The sequence below is a fragment of the Homo sapiens genome, chromosome 10 (assembly GCF_000001405.40).
Source record: "Homo sapiens chromosome 10, GRCh38.p14 Primary Assembly".
Taxonomy (NCBI): domain Eukaryota; kingdom Metazoa; phylum Chordata; class Mammalia; order Primates; family Hominidae; genus Homo; species Homo sapiens.
Window position 1 is genome coordinate 57,312,746 of NC_000010.11, and position 18,083 is coordinate 57,330,828.

At 35.4% G+C, this 18,083-nt stretch overlaps 1 long non-coding RNA gene across 1 annotated transcript in view; it reads right to left on the bottom strand.

Annotated features, from left to right (window-relative positions):
* Positions 1-9,495: 9,495 nt before the first annotated feature.
* LOC105378313 (uncharacterized) overlaps positions 9,496-18,083 on the bottom strand; it is an 85,058-nt gene continuing 76,470 nt past the window's right edge. The window contains exon 6 of the long non-coding RNA XR_001747453.1: positions 9,496-9,931. This is a non-coding gene — a long non-coding RNA (uncharacterized LOC105378313). The remainder of the gene's footprint in view (positions 9,932-18,083) is intronic.

Sequence of the window (18,083 nt, forward strand, 5' to 3'; positions counted from 1 at the left end):
TTAACAATTACATATATTTCCTTGGGTTCTAAATTTTACTTCCTGAAAATTTTGTTACCATTCCATTGTCTCTCATAGCATTTTTTCAGCAGTTGAAGAATAATACATTTGTAGGAATTGATTATTTTTAATTAGGCCCTCTACATAAATTTTAAAATGTCTCTGGTAAAAGAACCATCAAAGAAGTATTTTGTTTTAGGTATAAATGAACTTTCTCGTACATTTTAAGAGAAAACCATCTTTTTGATTTATTGAAACTCAATTCTGTTCCCTGTCACATTTCCTCATAAAGTAAGATTGAAATAAAAAAGGTATATATATTATACTCTATGAACATATTGTACAGGTTCCCTTTGCCATTGTAAGTCGGATGTGCATTATAATTTCTTACCTTTCTCAACTCACTTTTACTGCTTCCTATAAATTTAAAAAAAAAAACTAACATAATTAAACCAAATTTCTCTTGATGAACCAAATTCATTCTTGATGGAATGAATGTGACATGCGACCTTCTATTCACAGTATAGGATGTGGTATTTGGAGCTCCAAATCAGGCTGAGTTCCTTGTTGTGTCACTTTGTACACATCATTTATACTCTCATCTTTAAAAACATGCATTTCATGTTTTTTATTTGTTAATTACTGATGTGAATACCCAAGGAAGTAACATATGAAGAATATCTAGCAATGGGGCTGGCACATGATGGAATCTCATAAATGGTATAAATAAAGTCCCCAGGTTTTACCCTAAAAGAAAAGACTTCTCTTTTATAGAATTGTAGAATTACAAAATAAGGCATTTCAGAGACCAAGAAGCTGCTGATGCATTTCTGTGATAGAATGTAAAATTTATCATTGAGTGTTTCCCCCCTTGTTATCTTTCATGGGATTTGTTTTGCACTTTAATATTCTACTGTAGATTAATCATTTTTAATGTTTATATACTTTCTGCCCAAAGAAATTCTACTCAGACCCTGAAACTAGACAACCCATGTTTCTATTCACTGCTCCATTAATTCTCAGATGTGTATGATGCTGAGTAAGTTACTTAAACACCTTTTGCTTTAGTTTCTTAATTTGAAAATCAGAAAAAAATAAAACCTCCTCCATAGTTTGTGCGAGTTATGTGAATTTGGATGTATAAAGTACTTAGAATATTTGGTATCATTATTACTTTTAATATAACTTTGAAATGATACAAGGTCTAATATAAAATGGAAACTGTACTTCATAGAGATTTGCCAATTAGATAAATAAATAATGCAAGCATCAATTCACAGACATCTATATCAAAATATGAGTGCTATGTCCTATGCAGGATACAAAGGTGAAGAAGATACACAGGACTTCATAACTGGATGAGAGGAGAAATAAATCTATACATTCTTGTAATTTATGCTGCCACATAACAGAGGCTCAAACAAGTTATAACAGAAATTGGTCTATGTATCTCCCCTTTTTCTGGCCACCACAATCAACTTATGACTGACCTTTTCTTGGCTATTTTTTGCTTCTCTGACAGTATTTTCAGAGGCTTCTTTGTTTTGTGACAAACAAAAAGTTCTTTTATGATTCTCAATTAACAAGTCTTGGAGTTATCTAATTCCCTTTTATCACAATATTCTAGAATAAATGCCATTTCTTTTCTTAATTATCAATGCAAAATGGTTATTAAACATTGTATTTTTTTCCTTTTAGTTTACATTATTTATTTTTATAATTTCTTTATGCAACTGCATTTAGCCAGTAGGGTGTGGAGTTATCCTTGCCTCCTCTTTTCACTGTAATAACTCTGTGACACTCTTAATTGTGGATTGATTATGAAGTGATCATTCTCTAGAACAGCAGGATTCATGGTACAACAATATCAAGTTTAATGCATACAACATAAATAATGAGATAATAATGCAAAAAAAAGTATATGAGGTTTTTACTGTTTTCGTTTCCAATCTAATATGCCTTCTCCAGTAGGAAGAAAGGGGCAATGTTATAGCCAATCTTAGCTGAGACAGTCTGTGACCATCGCTGACATTCATTTACAATGTGTAACAAAATTTAGTAATGCCTATGTGTTTGCCTTGCTCATATGACTTTTATATATCATACGTGTGATGACAGAAGTTAGAGCTAAGAACAGCTTTTCTAACTGTTCCTTCTGATTGTAATTTTAAAATATAATTTATAATTAATTTCCAAAAGCTAATGCCTCTTAACCAAAATTGTCTTACCAATTATTTCTGGGTGGAAAATATCAGGTATATCCTGTTTATAATGATAGGTCTTGAATTCTTCAGATTCTAACTGTTCTTTTTACTAACTGTTAGTTGAGTAAAAATTTGTCTCAAAATTGAAAGCTAAAGTAAAATATAGCACAACCTGACAAAACTATGCAAGGCCATGCTTTTTATTCTTGTGTTTTAGTGGAGCAGTTTTAAGTATTAGAAATGTGGAGTAAAACATTTAAAAATGAAATTACCGAAAAGGAAATGAACTAAGTGTTCAAAATTTATACTGTAATCATTTTAGACTTTAACAAATCTCTCATGATCTATGACTGATCCATGGTCATCATATGGTGTACTTACTGGCTCATCAATAACCCTTTATTGTTATCAGTAGTATGAAATCGTAAGAAGTGTTTAACATTATTTGGTTTAGCTCCTATATTTCAGAAAAAAAGAAAAAAACACTTCAGTAACCTGAGGTGACACTGTTAATGCTTTTTTTCCAAAATAACTGTGTGATCTAGGGGTATCTTACTTTCTTCTGCCCACTATTGAATGCAGATGCAACAAAAGTGCAAAGATTATAGGAGGACCACAACCTGAATCTGGGAAAGAGAGCTGACTTGGTATTCTGGGTGAAAATATAATCTATCCGCTTATTTTTCTTTGTGCCTTTCAAGAGAATTTTAGGTTCAATAGGCCAGTATGAACTGTTGCTCTCTCAGGATAATGCAGTTTTATTCTGCATAGTGTTTATCAGACAACCAGAAAGAGAAAAATGTTTCTGATATAGTTATTACAAACACACAGATGGTGTAGACTGAAAGAAAATCAGAAGCAAGAAAAGAGGTTCAAAGTTAGATTTTTAATGGAAATAGTTGCAGCTATCCATAACGTTAGAATTCAAATGTCAGTATTATCTGACCTGGTGAGGTCCAGCTACCTAAATTAATGGCTTTTAATTACGTATTTTACTAAAGTTTTCTGGTATACATAGACCAAGCTATTACAGTTTGCTTTTTACCAATGCTTTAAATTAGTAAATCATATTTATTAGATAAGTATTATACTTTTACAGATGTATATTAAAATAATTTCAAAGATACTGGAAAGCCAGAAAGAAGAATAATTTTATGCTTATCTTGATCTCTTGGATCTGCAAAACAAGTCGGCCTCCAAAACTACTATAAATCCATTTTCTTTTTACATTTTACCTGGCTTTGTCAATGGGTGATTGTGATAGTTTCTAAAATTATAGTTATGTTTTATAATTTGGCTTCACATCAATCCATTCTCTATCCAGAAAGCTGGATGATCTGTTAAATATGCAACTCTAATTAAGACATGCATCTGCATAAATCATGTCAATGGGCTTCCAGCTACAATTTAAATATCACCTTTCTCTGACATCTTATCAAAAGTTGATTTTTTATTAATATCTATGGTAGAATTCTACTCATTTATAGAATTTATTACAATTTAAAATTATATATCTTATTATATACATGTATGTATAGAAATATACATGTATAGGTGTTTCTTTAAATATGCATTTTTTGCTACCACTAATCCAAACATACACAAAAGAGAAGGTAATTCATAAGAACCAAGTTCCTATCTCTTTCATTTACCAGCACTTTGTAAGGACAAAATAACTCATTCACAGGTATATGCAAAATGGAACTATTTATCTATGAAATTAAGGAACTCTGAGTCAAAAGAAAATGCACCAAACTAGTAAATTCAAGCTTGTGTAACATCTTTCTTTCCCTATGTGAAATATGATGGCAACAACATAAATAATAAACACAGAATTTTTAAAGTATTCGTTGATTTTGCTTCTTCTAGTTTTGATCTTTCAAGAAACAGACATGTTTAATTTTTTAAATGGGTTAGCCTTCTATATAGAAATATAATGAACTTTGTTAAAATTAGTGCCATAATGCTTCATGCTAAGGCTTTACTAAGAACTATGGAGAACACTAGCTATAATCATTTTCTTCAAGGAGATTATAATCTAGTTAGGGTGATTGAGTATAACATTTTGTGACATGTTCAATTAATAATAGAAAAGCTTTTACAAAACTATACTGCATACAAATAATAACAAATGCACGGCTAAGCTGCAAAGACACACTTCAGGGAACTATTTTGCACTATTTTAGTACAAATAAGTAATCTATTTTGGATGAGTAATTTTCCTCACTGCATTAAACAGATGTGTTTAAATCAGGCATTTAATTAAAATTGAAAGGAAATGGGTAGTCATATTTTCCTAAACTATAGGCATAATTTGGTATCAAATATTTTTCTCTCAGGTTATAAAAGCTCTTAATTAAGTACAAGTGAATTAAGTGTAAAGCAGCACAGAAGAGTTTAATGCAAATTTTAGAAACATGTTAGTTGTTGTTCCAAGATCAGACTGTGCAATAGAGAAATGCTTTTTGCTTTTGTATTGCAGTCATATTTATTTTTAGCCACTTTTTATTCCATAACCTCTACCTGTCTCATGAATCTTAGTTTGCTATTTTGAGTTCATTTATTTAAAATGAAAAGAAACAATTTTAGAGCCAGCTGGATGATTCCATTACTGTCATTCTACTGCTACCATTTCTGTGTGCTTTTAGGAATAAAAAATTAAAGCCTTTTATGTAAATTAAAACCTAAAACATAAATTCCCAAGTTTTTTGATCCCACTATCTATAGAAAAGGAAAACCTTGAAGGATTTTTTTTAAAAATCAATAAAAAGTACATTCAACGTTCTCTTGTGACTTCATCTGTTCTTTCATAGTACCTATATTTTTTAAATTCTTCTTAAGACTCTCATTAATGCAGTTATAATTCATTAATGTGACTAATATTTATTAGTTAGTAGAATTATGGTGACACCATGAAAATCTTTATGGTTCAATAGACAGAGCTTATGATTGGAGGAAGGAGATTTTGAATCTTGCTTTCAGTAATAATGTCACTACAGGTGAATAGGTGAATTATTGAAACTTTCTGTACCTTGACTGATGTAATCTCATGGGAAAACGGTATCTCCCTTTAAGCATAAAATAGCTAAATGTACAGAAAAGCAATTATAATGAAGTGAGTTTATGTTGCTGTTATTTTTTTCATCATCATTATCATTTCAAAAGAACAAGAACAATCTTTAGATCCATATTTGGCAAGGATGAAGGGAAAAATCAAAAGTAATATGAGAAACTAATAAACCTCTATTCCAAACACAGTTGGAATTTTCTATAGTGATGTTTCTATTTCATCATTTTTTCAATAAGAAACTTGCATTAATGCACAGAATGTTCAATTTAGAATCAAATAGCCAAATTCCCATTTAATTTTCTGAGTTATATATAACCCATATAGCTCTTATATTTCCTGGGTAGACAGCTCACAATACCAGACGACATGACAATTTTGCTAATTCCCAATTTTGTTGTTCACAAGCTAGATTTTCTCTATAAATCTGATTTGAGAAAAATTAATTTCTAAATGTTCTTTTAGCTCTAATTCTGTGAGGTTTCATTACTACTGTAAGATGCATTTTATTTATATACAGACATAATTATTATGTAATATTATACACAATAATATATTATTGAAATATAATTTTCTTAGTGAAATACTAGAACAAATGAATAGTAAGACATAATTTATGTCAATCAAGAAACAATGTACATGGAAATATTGAAGGACACAGAGCATGCTACTTCAGATTGCATTAAAGACAACCAGAAAAGTTTTTAGAATAAAAGAAAAAGGATTGTATTCAACAGATTTTTTTTATTAAAAGAAAAAATATCAGTGAATAAAAAATATTGAAGAAAAATAATATGGGGTTAACACTGGAAATCAGATCCATGAAAGCAAATTTCAAGAGAAAGCTTTATTAAAAATAGAACATAAAAAGTCAAGAGAAGCATATTCTTGCTACTTAAAAATGTGACCTTTTTGCATAACTCAAAGTTCAAGTTTGTGTTTAGAAAAGGCTTCTGCAGCCCCTGACAACATCTATGTCAATTTATATAGACATATGAGAATATACAAAACTTCATGGATTTAATTAGGGAGAGTTCTAGAAGTAGATAGACTCAGAGTTTATCACTAAAAACAATTTGAAGAAACCTCAAACAATTCCCATGTCTACTAAGGGAGAAAAAAATGAGAGGTATTTATAGGTAACTACCGTCTCTTTTCTGTGCTGCTACACAGCCTCCAACATGGTCTTTGCCATGTTAATTTTTCTAAAATATAAATTAAATTGTATTACTTCCCTTTTTAAAATCATTCATTAGTTTCCCCCATCCTCAAGGACAAAGGCCACTTTCTGTTCATGACTTACAAGGCTTTGCAAAATATGGCTTTTGTTTATATCTGTAATCTTACCTTATCCCATTCTTTTCTTCATTCAATATATTTCAACCACATGATCCTAAAATGTGCCAACCTAATTCAGTTGACATTATTTAACACCTGCTATTCCCTCTGAGGGTGTGTTCTCTGAATCACTCTCACTGTGAAAGATGCTCATCCTCTCTAGATCTGAGCTTAAATCTACCTTGTAAGGTATTTCTTTAAGTATCTCACTTTTAACTGGATCAGTTGAATTTACTTCATAGCCACCCAATGATGTTTTGAAACAATAACCATTTTGTTGCTCATTTTTCTTTGTGAATAATATTGTCTGTACTAAGCAAGGCAACTCTCCTGGTATCTGAGGGATCGATCATTCATTCAGCTCCTGTCAACTGCATGTCATTGGCAGCTCGCTTCTCGAGAGTAGCTTCAATTAGGAAGACCAATCTCTGGTCCATGCAGTTTCTCACATTCTAGAATGCTAAGCCAATTTGTTCACATAGTCAAAAGGCAATGGGGAGAGAGAGATCTTAATGCTCACAGCAGTCACACTATCACTTCTAATGCAGTTTTCAGGTCAATACAAGTCACTACAAAGCCCAGAATCAAGGGAAGAAGATACAGACTGCAGTGTTTGATGAGAAAAGCTGCAGTCGCATTACAAAAGATGCAGAAACAGAAAGGATGGAGAATCGTGGCCATTTCTGCGGTTCACTACACAGACTTATTGGTAGGAGAGCACCCTGTTTATTTCCTTTATACCACATGCGAAATGTGCTTCACCAGTTTGATGTTTGCTGGATTTGTTTGTTACTCCCTCTAGACTATAAACAGAACAGAGACTTTTTTTTTTTAACATAGTATTGCCATGGTCTGACATTACACTTTGCACTTGGTAGGCACTTAATGAATATTTTAAAATAAAAATTTTAAAAAGCAAAATAAGAAAACTCTATAGGAATAATTTTCCTTACAGTTTTACAAACATGAAGGTTCTTGTTAAGGCTCATATATCTGTCATCTATTCACAATCCCAATAACTAGCAATAACATTAAAATGCATAACAGTAATTTAAAAGTTATATCAGAGAAACTGGACAAAAACCTAGCTTAACTGGAATGTATTGCTTTATTAATAGGAAGGAGATAACATACATTTGCTCTGTGCACTCAATATGTCTGTCACTACGCTGATAATTTTGTTCACACCATCACTGGTCTGCAGAACTAATGAGAGAACAGAAGAAAGGTGACCGTTTCATGAGTCAGAGACCTCATGGAGAGAGACAGCATGAGGTCTCTGACTTAGAGATGGATGCTTGGATTATCTGGCAGGAATCCGTGGAAAGCTAGCACATGTAAGGTGAAAGGAGTTACATAAACAATGAATGCTAGTATAGGATTACCATAGACTTCAAGAAAATACAACCATGTTATGAATATAGATATTTTTCATAAGGAATTTGCCTTCATATAACTCCAGAATTTTAGTCTTCCCAAATACAGAAACATTCAAAATAGAATAGTTTTCAGATTTTGGTATTTAAGAATGCTGTATCCGGTTGAGATTTCATGATTTTTTTTTTTTTTTTTGAGGCGGAGTCTCACTCTGTCTCCCAGGCTGGAGTGCAGTGGTGCGATCTCAGCTCACTGCAAGTCGGCCTCCCGGGTTCGCCATTCTCCTGCCTCAGCCTCCCGAGTAGCTGGGATTACAGGCGCCTGCCACCACGCCCAGCTAATTTTTTGTATTTTTAGTAGGGACGGGGTTTCACCATGTTAGTCAAGATGGTCTCGATCTCCTGACGTCATGATCTTCCCGCCTCCGCCTCCCAAAGTGCTGGGATTACAGGCGTGAGCCACTGCTCCCGGCCCATGAATTCAATTTTAAGAAGAACTATGGTATTAGAAAGGACTAAAATTTAAATACTATGATCTTTTCTGCACAGTACTTATTCCCTGAATCAGAAGAACAAAAACTTACTTTAATATTGGTTATGCTGACATATTGAGAGGTGACAGCATGCTGGCAGTCCTCACAGCCCTCGCTTGCTCTCGGCGCCTCCCCTGCCTGGGCTCCCACTTAGGCGACTTGAGGAGCCCTTCAGCCCGCCGCTGCACTGTGGGAGACCCTTCCTGGGCTGGCCAAGGCCGGAGCCGGCTCCCTCAGCTTGCTGGGAGGTGTGGAGGGAGAGGCGCGGGAGGGAACTGGGTCTGCACGCGGTGCTTGCGGGCCAGCGCAAGTTCCAGGTGGGCGTGGGCTGGGCGGACCCCGCACTCTGAGCGGCCAGCCGGCCCCACCGGCCCCAGGCACTGAGGGGCTTAGCACCTGGGCCAGCAGCTGCTGTGCTCAATTTCTCGCCAGCCCTTAGCTGCCTTCCCGCGGGGCAGGGCTTGGGACCTGCAGCCCGCCATGCCTGAGCCTCCTCCTCTCCGTGGGCTCCTGTGCCGCCGGAGCCTCCGGGATGAGCGCCGCCTCTTGCTCCACGGCGCCCAGTCCCATCCACCACCCAAGGGCTAAGGAGTGCAGGCACACGGCGCGGGACTGGCAGGCAGCTCCACCTGCAGCCCCTGGGCGGGATCCACTGGGTGAAGCCAGCTGGGCTCCTGAGTCTGGTGGGGACGTGGAGAACCTTTATGTCTAGCTAAGGGATTGTAAAAACACCAATCGGCACTCTGTATCTAGCTTAAGGTTTGTAAACACACCATTCAGCACCCTGTGTCTAGGTCAGGGTTTGTGAATGCACCAATGGACACTCTGTATCTAGCTAATCTGGTGGGGACTTGGAGAACCTTTGTGTCTAGCTCAGGGATTGTAAATGCACCAATCAGCACCCTGTCAAAACAGACCACTGGGCTCTACCAATCAGCAGGATGTGGGTGGGGCCAGATAAGAGAATAAAAGCAGGCTGCCGGAGCCAGCAGTGGCAACCCCCTCCGGTCCCCTCCCACAGTGTGGAAGCCTTATTCTTTATCTCTTTCCAATAAATCTTGCTGCTGTTCTCTCTGTGGGTCCACATTGCTTTTATAAGCTGTAACACTCACGGCAAAGGTTTGCAGCTTCAGTCCTGAAGTCAGCGAGACCACAAACGCACCGGGAGGATCCAGCAACTCCAGACGTGCCGCCTTAAGAGCTGTAACACTCACCGCGAAGGTCTGCAGCTTCACTCCGGAGCCAGCGAGACCACAAACCCACCATAAGGAAGAAACTCCCAACATTATAAGGAATGAACTCCGGACACACCGCCTTTAAGAACTGTAACACTCACCGCCAGAGTCCACGTCTTCGTCTTCATTTTTGAAGTCAGTGAGACCAAGAACCCACCACTTCCGGACATCGTATAGCCTGAAAATAGAAAAAAATCATAAAAAATTACTTTGTTTAAACTAATGAGACCAAAGTACAATAAAGCTAAGGAAACTTTTTCTCATAAAAAATAAAATAATCACTATAATACTAATATTGTATTTGTGAAGCACTGTGTAAAATCTCTTCGGCCAACGAAGCACAGGATTAGGATTAAAGAGATTAAATACCATGCATAAAGACTGCTGGTGTTAGGTACAAATAAACGCAAGACTCCTAATTTATGATCCAATGTCTTCTGCTTTGTGATGAAATATAGCAATAAATTTACAAAGAAATAAATAAGGGCCATAGCGTTGGTTGACACGATGCTAAATAAATTGCAGGATCCTTGAAAGTGTATTAGATTTCTATTTAGTCAATATTTTCTTATACATACACAAAGCAAACTGTCCACAATTTAAAAGTTAAAATATAATTTCAAATAAATTTGTGTTCACCCAAAATTCATAGGCTAAAGTTCTAACAATTGGTACCTCACAAAGCGACTGGACTTAGAGATACATAATTAGAAAAGGGGCTTTGAAATGGTCATATGAGTGGGCCCTAGTGAACTCTTACCAGTGTCCTTGTAACTCAGAGATACCAGGGATGTGTACACAGAATGACGAAGACACAGTAAGAAGGTGACTATCTGAAAGCCAAGGATAGAAGCCTCAGGAGAAACCAAATCTGCTCACACCTTGATAGTGAACTTCGGTCTCCAGAATTATGAGAAAATCAGTATTTGTTAAGTCATCTAGTCTATGGTACGTAGACCTAGCAAACTAATGTATCCACCTAAAAGGGAAATATCTCTAAGACCAGGCAGAAGGTAAGCGGCCTCCATTATAGAAACAGCAATGATAATTGGCTATGTGTCTTAGGGCTGACAGAATGTGTAAAGTGACCAGCCTCCCTGGAATTCACTTCTCTGTTGGCACTTCTCTGCAATAACCAATCAGAGAGTTATCTATGCTGCTTTTACTCAGAATATCCTTTCTATATGATGACAGGTCTTTTAAAAAAATAAAAAGAAAACAAAAAACAGAGCTTGGATCTGACCTCTTGTGTTACAAAATGCATGGACTTCTCCCTAATTTTTTTGTGTCCCTTGCCCTCTGCCCAGACTCATGATACCAAGCTGACTTCCCATTCCTTGTTCTCTCTGGCATGCACTATTTGGCAATTGTCCAAAACCTTGGTTGTAGTCATTAAATTTGATCACTGGCATATCAAAGGGCCCATTAAAGGTGTAAGAGACTATGCAGCAACTTATGAGTTTTTCAATACACAATTCTATTATTGGGGACTGGCAGAAATCCAGGTTAAAATTGGTATTTTTGCCTACGTATAATATACAGTGAAAAGCTCAAGTTTCTCGTTGCCGCAGCATCTGCTCCTGGGAAATTTAAGAGGCCAAAAAGTGGAAAATCAAGTCAGGGCTATAGCTTGGATTTCAGGATAAATAAGGAATTGGTAAGCCATTCATGTTGCTTTTAGATATAAATAATTTTAGGCCAAAGGAATGGAGAGAAAAATCAATAGATATTTTATTCTTCTTTCACTCTGCAATGCTTCTCTTTCATCCTATAGGAGGCAGAGAGATGGCGACATTGATGAATATTTTTATGTTTTGATTTATATCTTAAGAGATCCCTTGGTATTTCAAGAGATATGTAGTATACTTACTGTTGTCAAGACACGTACTTCCCATTATATACCCCAGGAAAAGAAAAAGTAAGTTCAACTGGCAATTTGAAAGATACATTGTGAGTGTCTCTCACAAACACTGAAGACACATTTGAGTCTCTGATGTGCAATTTTTATAAAATGCTACCTTTGTGCGTAAAATAACTTTTTTTTTCCTGCAACTGTGGTAAGATTTCTGATCTGTATATAAACTAAGAGAACCATTGAAAGTGCCTGGGCATCATTCTAAGCAGACTATCACAAGGACAGAAAACCAAATACCACATGTTTTCACTGAAAGGTGGGAGTTGAACAATGAAAACACATGGACACAGGGTGGGGGACATCACACACTGGGGCCTGTCAGGGGCTGGGGGACTGGGGGAGGGATAGCATTAGGAGAAATACCTGATGTAAATGACGAGTTAATGGGTGCGGCAAACCAACATGGCACATGTATACCTACATAGCAAACCTGCACGTTGTCCACATGTACCCTAGAACTTAAAGTATAATAAAAAATAAAATAAAAAATAAAGTGCCTGGGCTCCCCCTAATGATCGTGGAACCAAAACGGACTAATTTTGCTTATACAGGATGCATTTCTTTATAGCTTTGGCAAATGACCTTAAACATGATCATTTACTTATGCCTCTCCTTTGTGCAAAATGTTCAAATTCCCCAGTGGCCTAAGTTCTGAGTATTCCATGGGGATGTAAGTTGCAGTGTGTCTGAACTGAATTCCTCCTGTTGCCATTTCTCTAAACCTGCTTCTCTGCTTACATTCCGTCTCTTGGTGGATTCTACTCAGTCATCAAAGCTGGCAGCTGGAAAGCCATCCTACCAGTGTTCTTCCCCGTGTCACTCACCATATTAAGTTGCAGATTCTTTTACTACCTCATTATAAACTTTGGTACTGCTATCCTAAGTGAGCATCATCAGCATAATTGATCTCTACAATTATAAAGTCCTCCTTGCTGTGTTTGCTCTAACATTCCCCACATCCTTTTCACTACTGTCTTGTGTTATGGGCATTTATCTCCTCTTCAGATCTCTTCATGTTAGTACTCACAGAAAAAATGTTTGATATCTCCCTTTTGCCTATGTTTAAAATTATTAATGTGGACAATCCTAATCTGTTCTAAAGCTATTTTCCTGATTACCACTGAAGTAAAGATACTGGATCATCCAACAGCTTAATGGAATACTAGGAAATTATCTTCACTGAGTCATAATTTTTGGTCTTTCAAAAAACACTCAAATTTTTCTGATACTGAACAAATGAGTGAAACCTATTGGGTTCAGAAAGAGATGAGATAATATATGCTTTTAGATCAATTTAGCAATTTTAAATCAAATTTTAGCAACATTTCCCCTATGGTTAGTTTCTTGCATGGTCTTATTCATTCCAATGCAGGACCTGAGTTACTCCCCTTCAACATTTGTTAATTTCTATAACTTATAACTGTTGGAGTCAGGTTGATTTGTACATTTTAATATGACATTGACAATATGTGTTAATCTGTCACACTTCCCTATAAGGATCCAAAAGTGCCAAAACCCTGCTTCACTGTCCTAAACCCATTCATTCCACATCTCGTGATATACACATATAGATTAAATAATAAAATCTTTTACACCACTCAAAGGCTGTGCGTATATACTGGAAAAACATCTGCATGCTTTATAAAGCACTACATACCCTCAGAATCTGAACAATGCAGTGATAATCTCTAATTACTTTGCTTTGTGGATATTTTCTTGCATTTCTCTCAGGTGATAATCCATAGGTTTTACTTACATACAACTATTAAGAATGCTTCATCTTAAGCAATCAAGAAGAAAGCTGATTTACCTAAAAGTGATATTCTTAAGCTCAAACTATATTTTGACATTATTATTTTAAAATATAGTAAAAATATACTAATTACCCCTTAAATACACACATGTACAGAAACATATACATCACTAGTAAATGTGTTATGCTCTTAATTTTTTTTCTGTGGAAATAGATTGTGAAAAGTGGCATGGGGAAATCTAAGAAGAATCATGAACACCCTAAAAATAAGAAAATAAGACAAATAATTTCTGATATAAGACTGTAAATAAAAGGAGTCTCTGAAGAATCATAGAAGTTTGGGCAAAGAAAAGTTTTATAAAATCAAAAGTATTAAAGTGTTAACATTCATGGATATTATTTACCTCTTGGTATTCTAAGGATACTTATGGCATAGGCTATATGTTTTCTCCCTTTTGCGTCGATTATGCAGTTTTTTTCAATTCTATCATACTTGGGCTTGGGGAAAACATGGAAGGAGATTTAGAGGGAAATGAGAACTCAACCAAGTAAACCTTCATGGTCTACTTGAAGGTTTACTTGGTTGGCTAAGGCAGATTGTAGAGAGACTTTCCAACAGTCTGGAGGAAAAGGCTCTGGTAGGCAGTTGAACAGTTTTATGCAACTGTATATTAAGGAACTCAATGGTTTGAAGTTTGATTAATCAGGGCAAATTTTGTTTTTTTATGTAAGCGTTTTTAGACTTTTATCTTTCCATCATTCTTTTGCTCCATCTCTCTGCCTTTCATTTCTTTGTTCCCTTTTCCTCTCTTCCATGCCTCCTCTCTCCCTCCCCTGCTTCTCTCTCTTCCTTCTCTCTCTTCATCTCTTTCTCCTCTCCTTCTTCCTCCTCCTTTTTTTACTCTTGTTCTTATTGTAGTTCATGTTCTTCTTATTGTTTCAGCCTCATTCTCGTCCTTCTTCTCCTCCTTCTATCCCACTCCTGGTTCTTTCTGTTCCTCCTCCTCATCCTCCTCCCACTCCTGTTCTTCTTCTTCTTCCTCCTCCTCTTCTTCTTCCTTCTCCTCCTCTTCCTTCTTTTTTTCTCCTCCTTCCTCTCCCTCTCTCTCCCCTTACCTTTCTTTGTTCCTTCTATTTCCATGTGTTGTAGATTTCACAGGATAATTAGACTAATAATTGTACTCCAGTTATTTGGGTGAGATTTTGATCTCCTGGATTTATTCTCAGAAAACATAACACTGCATTTAGCCATATAAGCTATGTTTACTTCAAAAGGTACTTTTTCTCTAGCCAGGTATGGTTGTCTGTAATTTAAAAAAAAAAAAAAGGCATCTGAGGAAAAGATGATGATAGATGTTACTTCTTTCTTTCAAGGCCCTCATGCAATATAAAACAGCAAAAAAAGTTGGAGATTTTTATAAGATGGAAGTCTACTCAATCATACTAAAAAAATTGTCTATGTATTACTTAGCAAAACTTAATTTGTAAATCACTGTATCTGTGTCATTGCCAATATATAGTTAATTAGAACATATAGCATCAGAAGAAAAGAAAATGTCTTCAAACTTTGAAAAACATCATTGCTCAAAACAGTAAAAGAAAATTTTACCCTTGAGTTTGTATCTAATTTTGCAATCAGCATAATTTGATGTTCGAAATAAAATTAAAATAGTTATTAATAGAACATAGAAATCAAGAAGTGCTAACTGTACCAGGGCGTCAAGATAAGTTAGCTTTCATCTTTAGTCTCCGAAAAAAAAAAAAGCCAGAAAAAAAACCTTTTACATTCTCTTGACTATTTTTCTCCTTATGTTAAAAATGGATATTTTGGGTTAGACTAATTTTTCTCTTGCATGTAAACAAAAGTGGTATTTGTTTAGAAATAACTAACTAGAATATGGAATTGGCCTGGAATGTTTCACAGTCTCAAAAACCATAGTTGATTGAATGACTGAAGCTTTATTTTAAATGTAAGTGGGAGACTTAAATGAATGCTTTTTAATTCCCTGAACTTAAAGAGAAGGGATTTACCCCAGTGCACCATTCTTTCTTTTTAAAATGAGAAACTGCTTTAATAGAGTCTAGAGTCTGTGTTCTGAGGCTGGAACAACTCTAAGATTTGACATTTTTAGTATGATAAACACTTTAGAGTTCTGACCGTTTTGGAATCTCCAAAGGAGTGATTAACTGTGAAGAAAGTAATCATGGATGAATAATTTAAGTGGTCTCATGTTAGTTTGAGTTTAATGATGTTCAAGATTTCAATTGCTTATGGAGTTCAAATTGCCTTTTGCTTTTTTCCTCTTTCATATAATTATTGGAAATTAAGTATATATATAAATATTTCATAGTTCATTCTTTTTTAATAGGCATCTAAGAATTATTTTGAATATGACATATGTCTAATCAGGACACTTACACGTGCTTTTTAGTTAATTTTAAATTATAGTTGACCCTTTAACAATGCAGGAGTTAGGGGTGCCAACTCCCATGCAGTTGGAAATTCGTGTGTAACTTTGACTCCATAAAACATAGCTACTAATAGCCTACTGTTGACCAGAAGCCCTACCGATAACATAGTCACTTAACATATATTTGGTATGCTATATGTATAACATAGTGTATTCTTACAATAAAGTAAACCAGAGAAAAGAAAATCATAAGGCAGAGAAAATATATTTGCCATTCATTACATGGAAATGGATCATCATAAAAATCTTCATCCTTATTGTCTTCAGGATGAGTAGGTTGATGAGGAGAGGAATAGGAGAGGTTCTCCTTGCTATCTCAGGATGACAGATGCAGAAAATCCACAAACGGACTTACACAGTTTAAACCCATCTTGTTCAAGGGCTACCTATATTTATAGTGACACAATTAAATATAGTTGTATTTATAATTTCTAGAATTGCTATTTTTTGCTACACTTATGTTTCTTCTTTCATGCCTATAAGAAAAGACCTCTATGGAGAAAAAGGGGGAAAAAAAAGCACTTGAGGGTTATGATAAGGATATGGCACCTGTACATACCAAAGTCAGCAGAAAACAGAGTAATAATTCAATGGTAGAAGTGTAGACAAGTAGGGATTTGCTTTTTAAAAAGATATAATTTTTAATCATTTTATGCCTGAGAAGCAGATTTTAGCACATGTTTGGTTATCTATTGCTATTATATAACAAATTATTTCAAACTTTAGTGGCTTAACACATCATTTTATGCTATTCATGATTTTGTTAACCAAAGATTTGGGAAGGGCTTGGCTGGGGCATCTGTCTCTCACTCACAAGCTGTGAATTGGAGTAACTGAGGATAAGGAAGTCAGTTCCAAAATGGCTTCATTATGTATACGTCTGGTACCCTGGTGGGGACAACTGGAACACTAGATTCTGAGGAGTTCCTTTGGTTCTTCATGTAGCTTCAGGGTGTCTCTCCATGGTCTTTCTAGTATATTAGTTTGACTTTTCAATTGGTGAGTCAGAGCTCTATAAGCTATTCTAAGTAATAAGAAGCATAAAATGCCCTTCTTTTTAAAGGTTAGAGCTGGAATTGGCATGAATTACTTATGCCATACTCTGGTCATACATTAGGGTAAATAAATCTCATCTCTCTAGGGAAAGCTGTCAACATATTTGTGTCATATTTACTCTGCCATAGTTCATACTATATCTCTTTCCTCTATCCTACCTCTCACATTTATCCAATCTCATAAAATGTATTTACAATGAATGTTTTCTATATCCATCAGCAAGTGTACCATCTTCTTTAAATGCATCTATCAATTACACTATGATCAGTATAATAACAGAGGATAAAATGGGGATAACTGGATATGATATTACTCTTTGAATATCTATTTAACATTTTTATTAGCAGGTACTGAAATGGATTTTTCCTCAGTATTCCCATAGTGTCTTAGACAAGGGAAAAAGACAAACCTCCATTAAGAACATTCTAAATCCTCTAAAAACTTCTGAATTATTGTGGTACCATGTGGAACTTGTTCGTTCTTTCCCACATCTCTGCTATCTCCAGAAAAATATTTTGCAACTTGCCATATGCCATCCGTATACTTCATGCCCATATATAGACAGGACATAATGTCCTGTAATCTGATGATTCAGAAAAGTCTTGATGAATATTCTTGGGAAGTAAAATAAAATATATTAATGTTTATGAAGACATCTTACTTAATAGCTACTTGATATATGATCACTCATCAAATTCTCTCAGATGAATATCTATAAATTAGATATTTATTATTCCTTTATTGAAGAGAAACTGAGACTGACTGAGAATAAACATTTCCAAGGTAACACATTTATCATGTATCTGAGACAAAACCTGAATTTAGTTTGGACTGATTCTAAAACCTATTGCAATAATCAGGGTAGGTTAAATTATGCTGCAATAATAAGCAATACCGTTTCCCCCGAAAATCAAGCAAACCAACACATGAAATTCCCATGGCTTATAACAAGTAAGGTTATATCTTAATTTCATTAGGGATATCCTTCATGAGTTGGTTCAGCTCTGTTCAATATTATTTTCATTTTTGGACCCAGAATAGCAGAGCAATCTCTTTCTGGAACATAATTATTCCTACAAAGAAGGAAGAGAGATACAGCAAACTACCAGCAAACTGGCTCTTAAAGCTTCTGCTT